Source organism: Homo sapiens, chromosome 3, assembly GCF_000001405.40.
Source record: "Homo sapiens chromosome 3, GRCh38.p14 Primary Assembly".
Taxonomy (NCBI): Eukaryota; Metazoa; Chordata; class Mammalia; order Primates; family Hominidae; genus Homo; species Homo sapiens.
The window spans coordinates 11,177,871-11,199,737 of record NC_000003.12 but is presented as its reverse complement, the minus strand read 5'-3'; the positions used below and the strand labels follow the sequence as shown (position 1 = coordinate 11,199,737).

The following is a 21,867-nucleotide window of genomic DNA, read 5'->3' as shown; positions in this document are numbered from 1 at the left end:
CTCTTAGATCCATCAACAGCAGGCGACAAATATGCCTGGGTCCCTAATGTGTGCTGGGCTCTGGGCCAGGTGCTGGGAGGACTAGGAGGGGCCAGAGAGGCACAGTCCTCTGCCTAGGAGGGGAACAGATAGGCAGGCAGGCAATTACAACATGCAGGACAGGTGTTGCAGCAGGGAAGTGGGGACTGTGAGAGCACTGGGGAGGCAGCTCACTGCCCAGGACAGGAAGGATGTGTGCAGGAAAGGCTTCCTGGAGGAGGCATTGTCAAAATCAGGGCCTGAGGGGAGAATGGGCATTAGCCAGGCAAGGAGATAGTGGGACACTGCAGGCAGAGGGAACAGCATGCGAAAAGGCCCTGAGGTGAGGGCAAATAAGGCAGCTCCCGGGACTGGCAGTGTGCTTCATAAGTAAGCACTAGACTCTAAGGAGAGTTGCTCAAATCCTGGGGTCACCACTAATGGAAAATACAACCACAGGCAAGCTGCTTAACCTCTCTATCCCTGAACTATTTCACCTATAATATAGAGATTACAAGCTTGTAATCCCAGCACTTTGGGAGGCTGAGTCCAGGAGTTCAAGACCAGCCTCCAGGAGTTCAAGACCAGCCTGGCCAACACGGTGAAACCCTCTGCTAAAAATATAAAAATTAGCCACATGTGGTGGAATGCACCTGTAATTCTAGCAACTTGGGAGGATGAGGTATGAGAGTTGCTTGAACCTGGGGGGCAGAGGCTGCAATGAACTGAGATAGTGTCACTGCACTCCAGCCTGACTGATGGAGTGAGACTCTGTCTCAAAAAAAAAAAAATGTGTGTGTGTGTGTGTGTGTGTGTATAAAGAGAGAGAGAGTTTACAATACACAGGGTGGTGTGGGGTTCAAAAAAGTTCACATCTATGAAGTTTTCACCACAGTGTACATTCTTAACTATTGTAATTATCTTCTTATGGTTATTATGAAGATTATCAGCTCAAACAGTCCGCCCATTTTTTTTTTTTTTTTCAGATAGGGTCTCACTCTGTCACTCAGGCTGGAGTGCAGTGATGCAATCATAGCTCACTGTAACCTCGAACTCCTGGGCTCAAGCGATCCTCCTGCCTTGGTCTCCCAAAGCACTGGGATTATGGGAGTGAACTACCGTGCCCAGTCTCTGTCAGGCATTTTGACAGGAAGTCCTCACTCTCCTTTTTCCATCTCAGAGAATGGCACTACCATTTACCTGCACCTCTAATCCAGAAACCAGGCAAAAACAGACATTCAATGAACAGCAGCGATTATTATAATAATAAGAGCTGGGTCTCTCAGTCATTCATTTGCTACTGTCATCTTGTCCCTTCGTTAAATAAAATCCTGGCAGCAGGAAAAATGGAAATGATACAGATCAGAGGGAGAGAATGTTAAGAGCGTCGGGAATTGGAATGTGGGGGGATGGGGGATGGAAGCTGGTTTGGATGTGACTTTGTGGGGAAGGGCAGACACTCAGGGGAATGAGCAGGCACCGTGGGCCTGAACTCCTCGGCGGGCAAGGTAGGGGATGTCCCAGGACAGGACACATGAGGATGCAAACAGCAAACTGCAGCTGTTAGAACCTCACAGCCTTGCAGATGCGGAGCCTGAAGCTTCCACTACCCCCATGCTAAAGCTAGTGAAAGGAGGTAGATGACTGAGGGTACTGGCGAGTAATGAGGGCCCAGGGAGAACCAGGCAACTGAGGCTTCAGCTAAACAGTAGAATAAATGATGCCGAACAACAAGCAGAGTCGAGCGCAGCCTCCGCATTTCCCAGGCAGGGAATGAGATTGGAGTTGAGAGACACACCTCCAATTACCAGCTAATAAAAGGCAGAGCAGGAATTCCCAATCACAGACCTGCCAAATGTGGTCTTTCCTCAGTTCCCAAGAGTTAATGCTGGAGGGTTACAAACAGTGTAGACAGCAGAGGAGCCTGCAATGAGCTGTTTTTTTCCTTCAATTAGTTTTATGGATGTATGTCCTGACCCCAGAATGTAATCATTTACTGTAATACTTTTAAAAGATGGTCTTTAAAAGGCATGTTTACAGCGATGACCAGTGATTACAATTGTGAAGTCATACTTTCCAGAAATGATTACTAAATTGGATTGCATTACTTTATCTACTTTTTATTGAATTCATTGAGTGGCCACTATAAACATCCAAATTGGCACTGAGGTCATTTTCAGATTAATGTGCCTTTCCCAGACAGTACCTTTTGTTCAAAACAAAGTAATTTATAGAGCATCCTACAATATAAAAGGCTCCGTATGGCCCCTTTTCTGGGGGATAATTTTAGGGGAAGAAATATCTTTGCCTATAGATGCCAGGCCCTGTACCAGGCACTGAAGTTATAAAGTTGGGCAAAACATCCAGGGTGCCAGCCCTCAGGAAGCTCACAGCCCAGGAGAGAAGTCAAACACAAAGAAGCAATTATAAATCGAAAGAAATCAAGGGAAGTTATAGGAACATAAAAAAGGGTCTCCTAACCCAATGCTGCTCAGATTTAACATGCTCATGAATCACCGGGGGATCTTGTTATATTTCAGATTCCAGTTGAATATGGCTGGGCCAGCCTGAGATTCTGCTTTTTTTTTTTTTTTTGAGATGGAGTCTCGCTCTGTAGCCCAGGCTAGAGTGCAGTGGCGCGATCTCAGCTCACTACAAGCTCCGCCTCCTGAGTTCACGCCACTCTCCTGCCTCAGCCTCCTGAGTAGCTGGGACTACAGGCGCCCACCACCATGCCCAGCTAATTTTTTTTTTTTTTTTTTTTTTGTATTTTTAGTAGAGACGGGGTTTCACCATGTTAGCCAGGATGGTCTCGATCTCCCGACCTCGTGATCTGACCACCTCGGCCTCCCAAAGTGCTGGGATTACAGGCGTGAGCTACCGTGCCCGGACGAGATTCTGCATTTTTAACAAGCTGCCAGGTGATCCTGATGCTGCTAGTCCATGGATCACACTTTAGCTGAACAGCTACATATGACTGGGGATATAATACCCTGTGACAGCATCATACACAGTTTCCAAAAGGGCAGCTTCTCAAATATTTTATATGGGCTGAAGGGCTCTGAGAGATGACTCAACAAAGGGCGCAAGCATTAAGTTTCACCATCAGTATAGGGCAACTCCCATGTGCTAGGTGAGTAAACAGGCATGTCCCTATCATAATGGAGTGAGCAGTTGAAGAGGAGTAGATGAGTAAAAATCAAGGAGAATTGCTTGAACCTGGGAGGCAGAGGTTGCAGTGAGCCAAGATCACGCCACTGCACTCCAGCCTGGGCTACAAGAGCAAAGCTGTCTCAAAAGAAAAAAAAAATCAAGGAATCACACGGACAAATGTAACAGTGTGTTTGTGGCAAATGTGAGGAATGTCTGTAAGATGGGGATGTGACCTGCTTAGGGAGGCTGAAGAGGGAGGAAAGGGTGCTCCAGGATGAAGGAATGGCACAAGCAAAGCCCCGGCTGAGGAGCCGGGCAACTGCAGTGAGGCTGCTGCGCAGGGCCAGGGAGGGATGAGGCTGGAGACTTAGGCAGAGGCTGGATCATGCAAGATCGTGTGGAGAGTTCTGCCTCCAGCCTAAGAACACCAGGGGCACCGAGGAGCTTTAAGAGGGAGGAGGGAATACAGCCAGATTTACATTTTGAAGAGATCACTCTGGCTGCAGGAAAGAGAATGGACTTGGCGGGGCCAGAGTGCGGAGTCCCTTCCCTGGGAGGGTGGAGCTAGGCTTGAGACAGAAAGCATTTTAGTCTCTTCCTGGGGGGCATAAAACTCGAAAGCTGTTGCTGGCTGCTTTCTGCCACAGGATGCTGGAAACAGTGACAGACAGTCTGCTAAGAACAGAATGAATCAGACACACAGGAAGTAACTGGAAGAGAGACAGCGTGTTTGGGGTGGGGACAAGCATGGGATGGGGGGTGGTCTGCACATTTCAGCCCCTGGTTCCAGCCCTTCCTGAAGCTCATCTGCAGCTCTGCCTTGATTTCTTTGGGACGGCTTTGTATCCCTATGAGGAGCTCCTTGAGGTGGTTTATGTCCCTGGCAACCCAGAGAGTCCTGGATAACGCACCTGAATTGAGGCTTTCAAAAGGGCAAGAAGCAGGACACCAGGAAGAGATTATCCAGATAGCTCATTTCATCCAATACTGTCATGAGAGTCACTTGGTTCTGCTGAATACACGTAGACCCTCGAGCTTCAGCACAGCCACACCAGGTCATTCCCACTCTGTACGCTGAAGTGGAGGGAACTTCCAGTGGTGGGGGATTGAGGAACCACATGGCAGATATGCCTCAATGTGGTGCCAGCTGGAAGCACAGTTGGCTTTCAAGGCCAGCAGCTGGGACTGTCCACCTAGCCCCAGGCACAGCTGTTTATGGTTTCTCCTCACGTTGGCAGTTTGAGTTTGATTTACAAGGGTCTAAGAGGAAACTGAATCTTTTCAAAAGGAAAACAACTTTGCAGAAGCTGCCTGTTTTCCAAGGAACCACTTTTGACGATGTTTTGCTCCTCTTGGTTACAGGTAACAAGAGGATTCAGAATCTGAGAGATACTGCTTAAAAGGAAAATGTCCTGGAGGGATGCCAAACTGCACTCTCAAAGGTTTCGGCTGGATGTGTGATATTGATGGGGAAACCCATTTCAGTGTCTCTAAGAAGGGGGTAGTGCTCCTCTTTCCAGGATGTCTCTGGGGAATCTAGAGCACCCCAAAGTGTGGTATGCATAGAAACATTGGTAAGCACAGTGATGATGTTTTCGGTATCTCACAAAGAAGCTGTTGTTTTAAGGATTATGCATCAATTTTAAGGCGTATTAGAAAAAAAATATCAAACTGGCAATTTCACAGCTTTTAATGCTCAGGATGAGGCTTAAATTAAAAACTGAGCTGACTTTATTCATTTATTTATTTTTTGAGACAGAGTCGCGCTCTGTCGCCCCAGCTGGAGTGCAATGACACAATCTCAGCTCACTGCAACCTCTGCCTTCTGGGTTCAAGCAATTCTCCTTCCTTGGCCTCCCAAGTAGCTGGGATTACAGGTGCACGCCACCATGTCCAGCTAATTGTTTGTATTTTTAGTACAGACGGGGTTTCGCCATGTTGGCCAGGGTGGTCTCGAACTCCTGACCCACCTCAGCCTCCCAAAGTGCTGGGATTACAGGCGTGAGCCAACATGCCCTGCTGTGAGCTGACTTTAAAAGTTATTAAGTAAATAATAGTACAGTTGGTATATGAAGGAGGCAAAAGGTGAAATTTATGTAACATTGAGATGAAGCGTGGGTAAGTGTCTGGCGCAGAGTCTGAGACGGGGTGGGAGCCTGAGGTGACACCACTGTTTAATGAGTGCCTTTATTATCTCTAATCCTCACAACAGACAGGGTGGGAATTGTTATTCCTATTTCACTGTTGAAAAAGCTAGGCTTGCAGGAATGAAAAAACTTGCTCAAATGCATACAGTCAGAAGGTGCCCTAGGTCTGTTTGCTTTGAGTTCTCTGACTCTTCAACTACACTGTACTACCCTTAATAAGAAAGTATCCTCTCTCTCTTCTAGAAAAAACAGGTGTCCTTCATACAAGCATCTCATAAAGGCCCCAGGTCTGGGGCACAGCCCATTTTATCCCTACGCACATGCTTATACTACACATACATTTGCATTTATGCTTGGAAACCAATGACCAAACCAACAAACTTCAAGACCAGCAACATCATTTTTATTTCCCCACAAAACTGATAAAGAACACTCCTCTGCAAAGCAGAAAACAACTCATCACTGTAGTAAATATGTAAGCTGATACCTTGTGAAGTTGCCCTAAATCTTTTTTCCTTTTCTCCCTATCCAGCTGCTTAAGGTCTGAATATTTGTTCCTCATCAATTCATGTGTTGAAATTCTAACCTCTCCTGAATGGGATTAGTGCTCTTACACGAGAGGCCTGACAGAGACTCCTCACCCTTCCCACCATGCGAAGACACAGTGAGAAGGCTCAGTCTATGAACCAAAATGTTGACTGTCACCATTTACTCAATCTGCTGTCGCCTTGAGCTTGGACTTCCCAGCCTCCAGAACTGTGAGAAATAAATTTCTGTTGCTTATAAGACAACCAGTTTATGACATTTCGTTATAGCAGCCTGAATGGACTAAGACACCCTTCCCACCATGTGAAGACAGAGTGAGAAGGTTCGGTCTATGAACCAAAAACTGACCCTCACCAGTCATTGAATCTGCTGGTGCCTTGATCTTGGACTTCCCAGCCTCCAGAACTGTGAGAAATAAATTTCTGTCGTTTATAAGCCACCTAGTTTATGATACTTTGTTATAGCAGCCTGAATGGACTGAGACACCCACCTTAAAAAGACAGTACCTCAAAACCATAAGGCAGGATAACTGCTAGCCTGATATTAATAGTTTTTAATTTACTGCTAGCTTCATTTTGCCAACTGAGTCAGATATTTTTTAAAAGTTCTGTTTGCAATTATTTTAACTTAGGAGAGGAGAAAAAGAGCAGGCATCAGCCTGCATATGGGATATTTCTGAAAGGATTTTGCTATGATTAGCTTGCCCTCAGGGAGAGTAAAATGTGAGTTATACAACCATGCTTATATTTAGATGTTGTTGATGTTCTGGCTTATAATATATGATGAGTTAGAAATAATTTTGTACTGATCAGCCCAACCAGAAAATAAACATGCTTTAACTTGTATTTATTACTAAACTTGGTCTCCTAAAACATGATAAAGCAGTTGAGTCTATAATGACTGAGCCATAGCTTCTCTGACTGACTCTAAGAGGGAATGACGTTAATAAGAGATTAGCCCATACCTCTAATAGCCCTGGGAGAGATGAACCCAAGACGGCAAGGCCCAGCTCTGATGGATGAAGGGACAGAGAACTATAAGAAGACTGGGTTCCATCTAGGATGGGTGGCCTGTTGAGTGCCCATCTTATCTGCTTAGATGATGATACTTGGAGACCTGACTCAATTGTTGTGAATGGTCTTTGTAAAATTTTATTTTAGAGACAGGGTCTTGCTATGTTGCCCAGGCTGGTCTCAAACACCTGGGCTCAAGTGATCCTCCTGCCTCAGCCTCCTGAGTAGCTGGAACTGCAAGTGATTACTCTTATTGAACAAACAAACAAAAACAAGTGCCTGTGACCTAATAGAGATGCATGCATATGTTCACCAAAAGATCTAGAATGTCCACAACAGCCCTATTTATCATCACCCCAAATGGGGCACCCTGCACCTACCTCAACAGTAGATGCATACATTTCTGTGTATTTACACTGTGGAATATGACACAGCAATGACAATGAATGAACTACAGCTATACACAACAACATGGATGGCTATCACAAACATAAGGTAGAGCTAAAAGCGAAAAAAACCAGCATAAAAGTGGGCAAAAGCCATCTATGTTGTTAAAAATCAGGATAGTGGCTGCCCTGGAAGGGGGCATGAGGAGGCTTCAAGGTGCTTGTCATGTTCTCTTTCTTCACTGGGACGCTGGTTACGCAGGTGTGTTCAGTTGGTGAAAATTCACCCAGCTGTGCATACAACGTGTGTATACTTTCATGTATATTATAGTTCAATAAAAAGTACTGCTACTACCACTGCTACTAATAAAGGTCCATGGATAGGTGACTCATCATGCCCAGTGGACAATGTCTGGCCAGTGGGAGTCAGGATGAAACCCAAGGGGACAGGGGGCTCAAACCATGTCCATCTTTGTCCACCCCAATCTTTTAAACCCATGGGCCTCTTTTCCCCATAAGAAGAGTCTAGCACTGCATTCAATTCAACAAGGCCAGGGGCCATGCCAGCCCCATAGGGATGTTTGGAAATACATGGGGTCATTTTTGTGGTCCTAGGGACTAGGGTTGCTATAGCATTTAATGGGCTGGGCCAGGAATGTGCAGGGGCTCCCACATTTCTTAGGTGAAGAATTATCTCCCTACACGCCAACTGTGCTCTTGTGAGGAAACCCTGAGTTAAACCACAAGGGTTGGCTGGATTTACATACTTAATTCCTCTAGTTTATTAGCAATGATGTAGTAACTGAGTCTGGGGCTGTCTCCATGCTGGCCCCCAGGTTCTGGGGACTTTGGCACTGACTATCTTTCCCGTAGAAAGAGCCCAGTCAGGTGGGGGGTGCATATGAAGGTCAGACAGTTGCTCGGAATTACAGATTCTCTACTTGGCTTCTATAGACACTCAGGCAAGTTAAGAGATATGGTTTGCCAAACCAATCCCATCTTCAGCCTTCCACTAACACCTGAAGCTCCTAGAATATGGTTCTTTGGTGCTATGGGAAGAGGGGGAGGTGGGTCTTTGACCTCTCCTTTTCCACCAGACATTTCCTTCGCTAAGACCCTTTCAGGTGTGTTGAGAAACTAACATGCTTGACATGGACAATCAAAGGGTTGTTCATGGCTCCCCACCCACTTCTGTTCACTGCAGGTTTTAGTAGCAGGATATGTTGACTGCAAGTGTATACCCCGTTACAGATAATTAGGTCCTGGTCAGCACAGTCCGACATGTCAACATTCTAATTCCTTAAGTATTCCTGAACTTTGATTCCCTAAGCAAGACAAAGCAACTGAGGAGGGAGGAAGTATTACTAAGGATGCCAGATTCCAAGGCCAAGGAGGTTGCTGGCCACTGAGCCAAGGGTGGAGGCTGCACAGTGCTGAAAAAGGGATGAAAGGGGGCGCACTGTGAACTCTTCCTTCCACGTGATGGTTGGCCTGCTACCTTGTCCTCGGGAGACCTGAACAAGAAGCTCAGGTCAGTGTGGCCTCGGAGGCAGCATGTGTGGCAAGCACTGAGGCCCAAATGCGGACCAGGAAGGAGGATCTTCCTGTCTCACTTAGAGGCCAGGAGAGTTTCTGGAGCCACAATTTCAGAGCGACTGGCTGCTCAACGTGAGCAGGGTTCACTGCAGTCTCAACCTCACGGCTCAAGCGATCCTCCCACCTCAGCCTCCCGAGTAGCTGGGACCATAGGCCACACCCAGCTAATTAAAATTTTTTTTTTTTAGCCGGTTGCGCTGGCTCACGCCTGTAATCCCAGCACTTTGGGAGACTGAGGTGGGCAGATTGTCTGAGCTCAGGAGTTTGAGACTGGCCTGGGCAACATGGTGAAACCCCGTCTCTACTAAAATACAAAAGAAATTAGCTGGCCATGGCAGCATGCGCCTGTAGTCCCAGCTACTCAGGAGGCTGAGGCAAGAGAATTGCTTGAACTCGGGAGGCAGAGGTTGCAGTGAGCCAAGATCGCGCCACTGCACTCCAGCACTCCAGCCTGGGTGACAGAGTGATACTCCATCTCTACAAAATAAATAAATAAATTAATTAATTAAAAAATATATATATATATATTACTAGAGACAGAGTCTCACTATGTTGCTCAGGCTGGTCTTAAACTCCTGGGTTCAAACAATCCTCCCGCCTTGGCCTCTCAAAGTTCTGGGATTACAGGTGTGAGCCACCACACCCGGACTAGTCAGTGTTCTTTAGGTACTTACATTCCCTCTTTGGACATTCTGGGCTGGGACAGCTGATCGAGGGCAGGACTAGGCATTCCTGGGTCCTTGGCTAAACATCATCCTGATGACACCTTTGTATAAACATCCATCAGGGTGTCCCAAAGCCACCCTAGAACACACCAGAAAGGCTAGGCTTCTCCTGATCACAGTCTTTCAGAGGCATAGCATTCCTCTCCTCCACATTTCCTGCATTTTTACCACACTCGCTCTTTTAGTGACCATTTTTCTTTTTTTGAAACAGAGTCTCACTCTGTCACCCAGGCTGGAGTGCAGCGGCATGATCTCAGCTTGCTGCAACTTTCGTTTCCTGGGTTGAAGCGATTCTTGTGCCTCAGCCTCCCGAGTAGCTGGGATTACAGGTGTGTGCCATGATGCCTGGCTATTTATTTATTTTTATTTTTATTTTATTTATTTATTTTTTTAGTAGAGATGGGGTTTCGCTATGTTGGCCAGGCTGGTCTCGAACTCCAGTGATCCACCCCCTTTGGCCTCTCAAAGTGTTGGGATTACAGGTGTGAGCCACCACGCCCAGCCAGTGGCCACTTTTCACAAAGAAGTGTATGTGTGTGTTTTCAAATTGTCATAATATCATTCCATGAGAGCAGTTAACTTTTGTCTCAGCAAAACAACAAACCATTACCTGTCATGGACCAGAGGGGTCCCTAGAGAATTGCGAAACTTGTTACATCCACAGATGCCAAGGATCTCGTTATAATACTGACCACTACTGACTGAGGACTAATGATGTCCCCTGCACTATTCTAAGAGCTTTCTATGTATTAGGTTATTTAATTCTTGAGGTAAGTCTATTATCTTCCCAATTTTACAGACAAAGAAACTGAGTCAGAGAAGGATTGAATACTTGGATTCAATCTAAGGTGATTATGAATCCAGAGCCGTTCCCCTACCCACTCAGCTGGTCTATGACATAAGTCTGAGCGTGTCTCCTGGACTCGGAAGGGTAATACATTAGTCTGAGGATGCAGAAATCTGGGGTTGCATCTACACAGGAGACACGTGACCTTGCACAGACCACTCAACCTTACTGAGCCCATTCTGTAAAATGGGGGCAAAACCTTCCCTGCTCACTCAGAGGGTTTCTGGGAAGGTCAGAAGAGATAACTGATGCAAATATACTTAGTTTCTAAGTCCTGCACACGCTGTAGCAAAGTTAGGTATGCATTATTTCATATTTGGCAAACTTATGCATGAAGGAACAGGAATGAGGAAATTAAGTCTAATGATACTCCTGTCTTCAGGAAGCACTTCAGATCTTAAAGAAGAAGGGCAAAACAGACACCTACTTTTTTCTGTGGACCTGATCTGTTAACATACGTCTCTTCTAAAATTAGGATGATGCCGTTTTGGCTGTCTTGGTTTTATATCCTCTACTTTTCACTAAACACGACATTGTGAGCTTTTTTCTGTGTCATCATATATTTTTCAAGAACGTGACTTTTAATAGCTACCTAAAATTTCTATCATACAGATTTGCCATAATTTACTTAACCATTAACTTATTGTTGAACATTCAAGAGTGTTTCTCATTTTTTAATATAAATAGAATTGTAATGCACGTCCTTATATATAAATCTTTGGGTGTGTATCTGATTCATTCTTTTCTTTTCTGAGACAGGGTTTTGCTCTGTCACCCAGGCTGCAGTGCAGTGGCGCAATCTCAGCTCACTGCTGCCTCCACTTCCTGGGTTCAAGTAATTCTCGTGCTTCAGCCTTCTAAGGTGCCACCATGCCTGGGGTTGTGCCATGTTGGCCAGGCTGGTCTCGAACTCCAGGCTTCAAGAGATCCACCCGCCTCGGCTTCCCAAGGTGTTGAGATTACAAGTGTCAGCCACCTCACCTGGCCTGATTCTTTATAACTTCCTACAAGTGGAATTACAGAATCAAAAGGCATGGATATTCTTAAAGGTCTTTACATATAATCAATCTGCTCTCCTTAAAAGCCATGCTGCTTTATGCTTTGATTGCATTCTTACCAATGCTAGATATTGTCAATTAAAAAAAATTGAATGCCAATTTGATAAAGTTAAACAACGATAGTTCACGTGTATCCTAATTTTAATTTACTTATTAATGAAGGTGGCTATTTTTCCCCCAAACATTTTCTGTCCATTTGTATCTCTTTGCTGACTTGGCTTGAACAACATCCCCTTAAAGAATTATTTTCTATGTTATACACAGGAAAGCTTTGCATCACACATTTTAATAACAGGAAAAATGAGATGAAATTGAAATGTTTAGCAATTGGGAAATGTTAAGTCAATGAGGCAAAAGCAGTTGATGTAACCTTATGCAACCATTACAACTGGAGGCTACAGAGACTTCAGCAACGTGGAAAAACACCTTAAGAAAGAAGAGCAGGACAGAAAACAGAATGTACACCACGTTTACATGTTTACAACAACACAAAAATACAAATCATCGTAGGAGTTGGGATTGAGGGTTGGGATTGAGGATTGATGCTTCCTGAAGACAGGAGTATCATTAGACTTAATGTCCTCATTCCTGTTCCTGCATGCATAAGTTTGCCAAATATGAAATAATGCATACCTGACTTTGCTACAGCATGTGCAGGACTTAGAAACTAAGTATATTTGCATCAGTTATCTCTTCTGACCTTCCCAGAAACCCTCTGGGTGAGCAGGGTAGGTTTTGCCCCCATTTTACAGAATGGGCTCAGTAACGTTGAGTGGTCTGTGCAAGGTCATGTGTTTTATTATTTTTATATATTATTATATTTTTAGATATTATTTTTCTCTTCTTCAAAATGTTTTGTAATTCTATTATATAACCTTTGTAGTTAAAAGAAAAAAAAATTACGGACAGATTTTCAGCTGACTTTCCAAATGGCCCATCCCAGTTTCTTAGGAGCCTCCTATACCCTTTTAACAAATATCTGTGTTTGTGTCACAGGAGACTGAAACTCTTTGCTTAAGTATTAGTAATTCTGTTCAGCAGAGAAAAAGATATCTTTGTCAGTAGTGGAAAGTAGGGCTCACACTTACGATCCTGAAGTTGGGTTATTCCAGGCCAGAGGACCCCCTCTGGCCCCAGCCTCCTCTGAGGCTTGGGAAAGGGAAGGTCTGGAATTGTATAACCCTGAGATTATTTTAAGAACGTCATACCTTCCAGTACTTGCATACTTTTATCTTTTTTAATTTAAATTTTGGATCCATCTGGAATTAATTCTGGAGAAAGGAGTGTGCTGCAATCCAACTTAATATTTTCCAGGTGGTTCTTCAATTGCTCCAAGCCCATTTATTGAATAATCTATCTTTTCTCCAGTGATTTGTAATGCCACCTTTCATACATACTAAATTCCTATCTGCATTTGGGTCTGTTTCTGAACTGTCTTCTGTGCTGCCTGTCTGCCTGATTACCTAGAGCAGATCCAGGCACTCTCAGACCTAAAAGTGTTAGCCCAAAACAACCTGTGGCACAAAACAGACTAGAAATTAGGTCCCCCAGCCTGTGCTACATGAACACCCATAACTATGTGATGATGGTCCCTTAGCCCTGTGAGAGGAATCAGAGTGGTCTCAGATCCCGACCTCCAAGGCAGGGAGAAGCTCCAGGCATTAAAGTCAGCTCTTCCTTCCTCTTCATTTATTCAGTGAGTAAATGCAACAGTGAGTGGCTCAAGGGGAGATTACTCTTGGGTTAGTTAGCTCACCTCTTGGGGCCTCAGTTTTCACTTCTGCAAAATGGTTATAATAATAATGATATCTATGCCATGCTGCAAGGATCCACTCATCTGATACTGGGCAAAGGTGCAATGGTAAAAGCTGTGGTGATGATGAATAAGGGCACTGGCATGATGGCAGAACAGCTCTCTCCTGTTCTGAAGCAGATAATGCCCATCACTTTGGCTGCAATTTAGCAGGGAGCAAGCGGCATAGCTTTATGACAGCTGCTCAATACATCTAGAGGTCAGGCTGCCCACATCCCAGAGGTATAGAACTCCTACAGGTAGGTCCCTAGAAACAGGAAAAGGTGGAGTTGTCCGGATGCCAAACCTGACTCAGAGCCCAGCATTGAAAGGGCTTAAAACAGGGCTCGATCTTGCTTGGGAGGGGCCCAGGAACCCACTGGAGGCTCTGCAAGGTGGGCAGGAGGAGCAAGGGAATTCTCGGCAGAGCAGGAAATCTGGAAGGGGGTTGGAGGGGGCTGGAGGTCGGGGCTTCCACAGAACACCTAACAAATCTGGTGATGCCATTGCTGGGAGGCATCACATACTCATACGTGGAACTGCCATCTACCCCAGCAAGTGCCGGAGCCCTGGGAAGTCAGGCACAGAGCCCAGAAGTTACCGTAAACAACGTCTGAGTGCCAACATTCCAGGACAGGAATAACAGGCCCCACCCCACCTCCTCCACACATGTGCACCAACACGACACCGCAGGGTTTACAAACACCATCACCACTATTGGCCTGTGTCATCGGAGCTCCCCCAGGAGGGAGGGACTGTCATTATCCCCATTTTCCAGATAGGCAAATGAAGACTCAGACACAGCTCACCCGAGAAAGTGGCAAAGTTACAACTCAGGTCTTCTTGGTCTAAAGGCCAGACCACAAGGCAATCTTGACAGGGGCCAAAGTGGAGTGTCTGTTTAGTCCTCTAGTTGCTCAATAAGCATTCATGGAGCGCCAACTTCATCCTCAACACTGAGAGTGCTGGGTATACAGAGGCAGGTGAGACACAGTTCTTGCTCAAAAGGACCAAATAAATAATTACCCTGCAGTGCCACATTTAATGGGTAGACAAAGTGCTGTGGGAGGTCAGGGGAGTGACTTACTACTTTGAAAATTCAGGGAAGGCTTCCCAGAGGAGGTGACTTATGAGCCAGAACTCGAAGGATGTTTTCATCAGTGAGAAGCAGTTTAGTCCTCAATGAGTGAAAGTGCAGGTTCCTGAGCCTCAGCGCTATGCTCCAGGCTCCTGCCCTCTCTGGCTATCCTTTAGAATTTCCAGGGATGCCTTACCCCAGACTTTCTGAATCTGAATTTATAGCACTAGGACCCAGGCACTTCAAATGTTTTTTCACAGTCCCCAGGTTTTTACCTGAGGATGTATATTTGGGGCCCATGATACAATGGGAAGCTACTGGCAGGGTTTTTTTTTTTTTTAAATTAGTACTGTTCATTTTAATAAAAACTTTAAATGCAATGGAAAAACAAAGCCGATGGCTAAACCCCATGTCCACTGAGCCTATCAAAATTAGCCTGATTCTTTTTTTTTTTTTTTTTTGAAATGGAGTCTGGCTCTGTTGCCCAGGCTGGAGTGCAGTGGCCTGATCTCCGCTCACTGCAACCTCTGCCTCCCAGGTTCAAGTGATTTCTCCTGCCTCAGCCTCCCAAATAGCTGGGACTACAGGTGCCCACCACCACACCCAGCTAAGTTTTAGTATTTTTAGTAGAGACGGGGTTTCACCAAGTTGGCCAGGCTGGTCTTGAACTCCTGACCTCAGGTGATCCGCCCGCCTCGGCCTCCCAAACTATTGGATTACAGGTGCGAGTCATCGGGCCCGGCCAAGATTAGCCTGATTCTTTTCCTTGTGCTTGGAAATCATTATCTCGGCGTGTTAGGAAAGCACTTCTGCCACTCCTGATAATGCCTGACATGACAGGGAAGAATTTAAGCTCTGAGAATTTATGCCTGTCTGGGAGGAAGCCGACCTCAGACACAAAAGAGGGTAGGCTGTGCTCCACTGGCCATTCTAAGAGAGGAAGCAAGACATTCAGTGGTGAAGAGCTTGGAGATGGACCGCCTGCGTTCAGATTCCGCTTCTGCTGCTACTCCTGAGTGGTGCGATTTTAGGCAAGTTACTTAACCTCTCCGTGTCTCTATTTCTTCATCTGTAAAACGGGGATAATAATAGCATCTGCCTCATAGGTTGTGTGAAGATTAACTGCGTTAATATATGTAAAGGACTTAGAATCGTGCCTGTCAGATATAGTAAGTTTTACGTAATGATTTGCTCTCATTATGTTAAGATTTGAGTTGGAGGTGGAAGGTGGGGGCCAGCTATGGCCAAGACTGGGGGACTTTTAATCCTGTTTTCACTTGGCACCCTCTGCCTGAGCACTGGCTCTGTTCATTTACTGTGCCGGGCACTGGAGATGCAGCAGTGAATGAGACACAATGCCTGACCTTAGGAGGTCCCAGGCATGGAGAAATGGCAAAAACCATCACACCGCCTGCCTCTCTGAGCACCAAGGACCAGTCACACGGCCTGCCTCTCTGAGCAGCAAGGACCTGCCATGGGAATAAGATGGCCAGTGCTTTAAAAAAAAAAAAAAAAAAAAAAAAGCAAGCTTTCCTACTGTGGGTTTCATCACAAGCTTATTTGAAATTTCCAGCCTAAGCTTGCAGTGAGCCGAGATCGCACCACTGCACTCCAGCCTGGGCGACAGAGCGAGACTCCTTCTTAAAAAAAAAAAAAGAAATTTCCAGCCTAGAACATGGAAAGGCAAACGGCACAAAAAGATGCCCTGGAAATCAAGGAAAGAAGGTCTTCCTTAGCTGTGGGATTCACCCTCATGTACATGCATGCCGCCGCCCCGGCAGGGCCCACGGGGAGAGCAGGACCAGTTCTGTAGCTGTGTTTGCCTAGAGCAGGATTTCTCAACCTCTGTACTACAGGCGCTTTGGGGCAGGAAAATTCTGTGTTGGGGGCTGCCCTGTGCACTGTAGGAGGTTTAGGAGCATCCCCGACCCCTACCTACTCGTTGCCAGTAGCACCCTCCTTTGTGAGTTCTGACAGCCAAAAATGCCTCTAGACATTGCCAAGTGTCCCTAGGGTCAAGACCACCTCTGGCTAACAAAAACTGCTTTAGAATCTGAGGTTTCCTGCCAAAGGACACCTCCACCTGACCCTGCCGCCGTGAGGAAGCAGATCAGCCTGACGTACAGGACAGCCCCAAGGAATCCTTGTCCCCCAAACTCAGCACTGTCTAGGCTGAGGTTGGCCTTGGACATGGTTACATTCCAAGCCTCCTCAGGCCACCACTTTAAAAAGGTGGGACTGGGCTAAGCCTGGATTGCATTAGAAAGTTTCAGCTCCAGTGGGTCTAAGAGATGATGAAAGCATCAGAGATGGCCAGGGGGCGGGAGGAGTGCATCTTCCATTTTCCTGAGGTTGCTCTGTGGTTATTAGAACATTTCTGATATAATAACAATAAATATCAGAAAAGGAAAAAAAGGGAAAAGTGCTTTATAGGGGTCCCAGGAGATGGAGTATCCTAGGAGGCAAGGTGTGGCAGCAAAAGAGAGGACAGGCACTGGGCCTGGAAAATCCTGGGTTTGATACTGATTCTGTCACTTCCTAAACATGAGCCCTTAGGTAAGAAACTTCACCTCTCTGAGTATCAGTTTCTATACCTCTGTGAAATAGGAGCATCTCAGGGCAGTTGGGAGGACTGAACAGGATACGGGCAGGATGCTTTGGGGCAGTGCTTACCACACTGGAGAAGCTTCATACAGGCTTGCTGCAGCACCCTCCCTCCCCTCCATTTCACAGATGCATACACTGAGATGACCTGCCCACAGGCACGCAGCTGCGCTCATTCCAGATGTGCTGAGAACCACTGCTGAAGGCCTGAGCAGGAAGTAATTTTCCCTCCCTGGGCTGAGTTCCTTCATCCATGAAATGGATAGATAGGGGAGGGTCAGACTGGATGATATCTGGAGGCTTATATGGCCCTGAAGTTCCATGAATTAAAAGAATGTTCTATTAATGGTAACAGCTAACAGCCACCTGATGTATGTCAGGCCCATTACGTACTTTGTATTTAATCTAGGAACACAGCAAGTTACAGATGAGGGAACTGAGACCCTATATATCTGATAAGGGGCAATATCCAGAAAATATAAGAATTTTTACGGGCCGGGCGCGGTGGCTCACACTTGTAATCCCAGCACTTTGGGAGGCCAAGGCGGGGTGGATCACAAGGTCAGGAGTTGGAGATCAGCCTGGCCAAGATGGTGAAACCCTGTCTCTACTAAAAATACAAAAATTAGCCAGGTGCGGTGGCAGGCACCTGTAATCCCAGCTACTAGGGAGGCTAAGGCAGGAGAATTGCTTGAACCAGGGAGGCGGAGGTTGCAGTGAGCCGAGATTGTGTCACTGCACTCTAGCCTGGGTGACAGAGCAAGACTCCGCCTCAGAAACATAAAAGAAAGAATTTTTATGCATGAACAATGGAAAGACAAATTAATTTAAAAATGAGCAAGGGGGCCAGGCGTGGTGGCTCATGCCTGTAATCCCAGCACTTTGGGAAGCCAAGGCGGGAGGATCACGAGGTCAGGAGATCGAGACCATCCTGGCTAACATGGTGAAACCCTGTCTCTACTAAAAATACAAAAAATTAGCTGGGCGCAGTGGCGGGCGCCTGTAGTCCCGGCTACTCGGGAGGCTGAGGCAGGAGAATGTTGTAAACCCGGGAGGCAGAGCTTGCAGTGAGCTAAGATCGCGCCACTGCGCTCCAGCCTGGGCGACGGAGCGAGACTCCGTCTCAAAAAAAAAAAAAAAAAAAAAAGAGCAAGGGATCTGAATAGATATTTCTTCAAAGAAGATATATAAATGGTCAATAAGCCCATGAAAAGGCACTCAACATCATTAGCCATCAATGCAAATCAAAACCACAATGAGATAGTACTTCCTACACACTAGGGTCGTTAAAATAAAAAAGACAATAACAAATGTTGGCAAAGATGTGGAGAAATCAGAATCTTCACACCTTGCTGGTGGGATTGTAAAATGGTCCAGCCACTCTGGAAAACAGGAAATTCCTCAATATGACTCAGAAATTCCACTCCTACATTATATATACATGAATGATATATTGTATGTGTATATATATTTTATTATTACTATTTTTTGGAGACAGGGTCTCGCTCTGTCACCCAGGCTGGAGTGCAGTGGCTCACAGCAGCTTACAGCAGCCTCAACCTCCCGGGATCAGGAGATCCTCCTGCCTCTCAGCCTCCTGAGTGGCTGGGACTACAGGCACATGCCACTAGGCCTAGCTAATTTTTGTACTTTTTGTACAGATGGGATTTTGCCATATTGCCCAGGCTGGTCTTGAACTCCTGGGCTCAAGCTATCCTCCTGCCTCAGCCTCCCAAAGTGCTGAGATTACAGGCATGAACCTCTGCGCCTGGCCGTGTGTGTGTGTGTGTGTGTGTGTGTGTGTGTGTGTGTGTGTGTGTGTGTGTATGCCTGAGAGAAGTGTATGTCCACACAGAAACTTGTTCATAGCAGCATTATTTATAATAGCCAAAAAGTAGAAACAATCCAAATATCTGTCAACTGATGAATAAATAACCAAAATGTGGTTTATCTATACAATGAAATATTATTCAGCAATAAATACAAGTAAAGTACCAACACATGCTACGGTGTAGATCAACCTTAAAAACATTATGCTAAGTGACAAAAACCACTCACAGACATTACATATTGTAGGATTCCATTTGTATGAAATGTCCACAACAGGCAAATCCATTGAGGCAGAAAGTAGAATAGAGGTTGCCAGGGGCTGGAGGTGAGAGTGGTATAGGACAGGGGTACCCAACCCCTGGGCTGCGGACCGGTACTGGTCAGTGGCCTTGTAGGAACCGGGCCACACAGCAGAAGATGGGTGGTAGGCAAGCAAGCATTACCACCTGAGCTCTGCCTCCTGTCGGATCAGCAGTGGCATTAGATTCCCATAGGAGCTCGAACCTTATTGATAATTGTGCATTGTGAGGGATCTAGGTTGCACGCTCCTTACGAGAATCTAACTAATACCTGTTGATCTGAGGTGGCACAGTTTCATCCTCAAACCATCCCCTTCAACCCCCGTCCGTGGAAAAATTGTCTTCCATGAAACTGGTCCCTGGTGCCAAAAAGGTTGGGGACTGCTGGTGTAGGAGGAAGTGGAGAGTGAGTGTAATGGCTGGAGGCTTTCTTTTTGAGGTGATGAAAAAGTCCTAAAATTAGATAGTGGTGATGGTTGCACATCTCCATGAACATACTAAAAACCACCAAATTCAGTTTAGACAGGTGAATAATATGGTATGTGAATTACATCTTAATAAGGCCATTTAAAACACAAAAGAGGGCCGGGTGTGGTGGTGCATGCCTGTAATTCCAGCGCTTTGGGAGGCCAAGGCAGGAGGATTGCTTGAGCCCAGGAGTTTGAGACCAGCCTGGGCAACACAGTGAGATCCCATCTCTACAAAAAATTAGCCAGACATGGTGGCGCATGCCTGTGGTCCCAACTACTGAGGAGGCTGAAGTGGGAGGACTGCTTGAGCCCAGGGGATGGAGGCTGCAGTGAACCATGATCCTGCCACTGCACTCCAGCCTGGGTGGCAGAGTGACACCTTGTCTCTATAAAAAAAAAAAAAAAAGCCACACACACACGCACAATAGCAACAAACTGAGGCCTAGGGAGGCAAAGAGACTTACTCAAATAAGTGAGTTCAGAACTGAAGTCAGGCCCCCTAACTTCCAGGGCGATATCCTTCTGGCTGACTTTCTTTCTTTCTTTTTTTTTTTTTGAGACAGAGTCTTGCTCTGTCACCCAGGCTGGAGTGCAGTGGCGTAATCTCAGCTCACTGCAAGCTCCGCCTCCCGAGTTCACGCCATTCTCCTGCCTCAGCCTCCCGAGTAGCTGGGACTACAGGCGCCCGCCACCACGCCCAGCTAATTTTTTGTATTTTTAGTAGAGACGGGGTTTCACCATGTTAGCCGGGATGCTCTAGATCTCCTGACCTCGTGATCCACCCACCTCGGCCTCCCAAAGTGCTAGCATTACAGGCGTGAGCCACCGCGCCCGGCCCTGGCTGACTTTCTTTTTTAAATTTTTTAAATTTTATTTATTTATTTTTTTAAGATGAAGTTTCGCTCTGTAGCCCAGGCTGGAGTGCAGTGGCGCGATCTTGGCTCACTGCAATCTCTGCCTCCTGGGTTCCAGCGATTCTCCTGCCTCGGCCTCCCAAGTAGCTGGGATTATAGGCGTGCGCCACCACGCCCAGCTAATTTTTGTATTTTTAGTAGAGACGGGGTTTTGCCATGTTGGCCAGGCTGGTCTTGAACTTCTGACCTCAGGTGATCTGTCTGCCTTGGCCTCCCAAAGTGCTGGGATTACAGGCATGAGTCACTGTGTCCCCCCGGCTGACTTTCTTCTGAAAAGAGGGATCATTAAAGGAACTGTGGACCTACTCCACGCCAGGCACTATTTTACTTAATCCTGCCAACATCTCTAAAAAGTATGAGTTCCTAACTCACAGTTACAAGGGAGAAAGCTGAGACTCCGAGAGGTGAAGTGATTTACCCAAGTCACCGTCTTAGCTCAGGTTTCCCAGACGCCACCCCAGAGACAAGGGACGTATGAAGGAAGGGCTCTCGGAGAAAGCAGAAAGGGTCTGGGTGGTGGGTAAAATCCTGTGTCATCCCACAGGAGGACCCTGAAGTGTAACTCACACCTTGGAGTTGGCCCAACCAAGGCAAGGGAGGTGGGATTTCATGCCCCTGGACTCAACAGTCGTCTGTCAAAGGCCGCAGGGGGTGGGGTGGAAGGTGGAAGTTCTTGGGCATTTCTGGACTCTGCACTTGTAGACAAAATGGCTCCCAGCCTCACAGCACCCCGCTGCAGAAAGATCACAGGCGCATGCCTTTGGAGGCAAAGGTACAGCCAGGTTGGAAGAGGGTTGCGCAGAAACTGTAAAGAGATCCAAGGGGATTTAGGCAGAACACTAACACTGTCACCTCCAGGCACCCAACGGGGAAATAAGGGGCCTGGGATTTGAAACCACATTTGTCCCCAAAGCCCATCAAGTCCCCAGCCTCTTCAAGAAGGATCATCCATAGGCTAATCTTGGCAGAAATTCCCAATGTGTGTGTCACAGAGGAGAGGATGATGAGCTAGAACCAGAAGGAAAGGAGGGCTGAGCCCAGCAGTCAGAAGCTGGCGAGGGACTTGAACCTGGGCCCCAGAGGGGACAAGAGAGGAACAAAGTATGCATGAGATAAGAGTGATGGGAGCTGAAGGACGATGACAGGGTCAGGCAAGCAGCACTCTCCCTCCATGGCCTGGATCTAAATGTCATCACACCACCTCTTCTCTGCTGCTGGAAGCTCTGGTTTGGGAGTGGATGGACCCAGATAACAGAGATGATGGCAGGCTGCATGCATGTTGAGAAGAAACCCCACCGATGGAACTCTTGGACAAATCTCTTCAGAGGGAGGTGGGGTGGCAGCAGGAACACTCTGACTCCTGCCTTTGTGCCAAGTGAGAATCTGCTGTT

The 21,867-nt window shown here is 46.5% G+C and overlaps 1 protein-coding gene and 1 long non-coding RNA gene across 5 annotated transcripts in view; one reads left to right on the top strand and one right to left on the bottom strand.

The window, feature by feature from the left end:
* The window catches only part of LOC102723663 (uncharacterized), a 32,484-nt gene extending 26,181 nt beyond the window's left edge, over positions 1 to 6,303 (top strand). For all 3 annotated transcript variants that reach the window (XR_001740596.2, XR_001740595.2, XR_001740598.2), the window contains 2 exons: positions 4,534 to 4,745; positions 5,851 to 6,303. This is a non-coding gene — a long non-coding RNA (uncharacterized LOC102723663). The remainder of the gene's footprint in view (positions 1 to 4,533; positions 4,746 to 5,850) is intronic.
* HRH1 (histamine receptor H1) overlaps positions 1 to 21,867 on the bottom strand; it is a 126,320-nt gene that overhangs the window by 63,820 nt on the left and 40,633 nt on the right. The window lies entirely within an intron of this gene.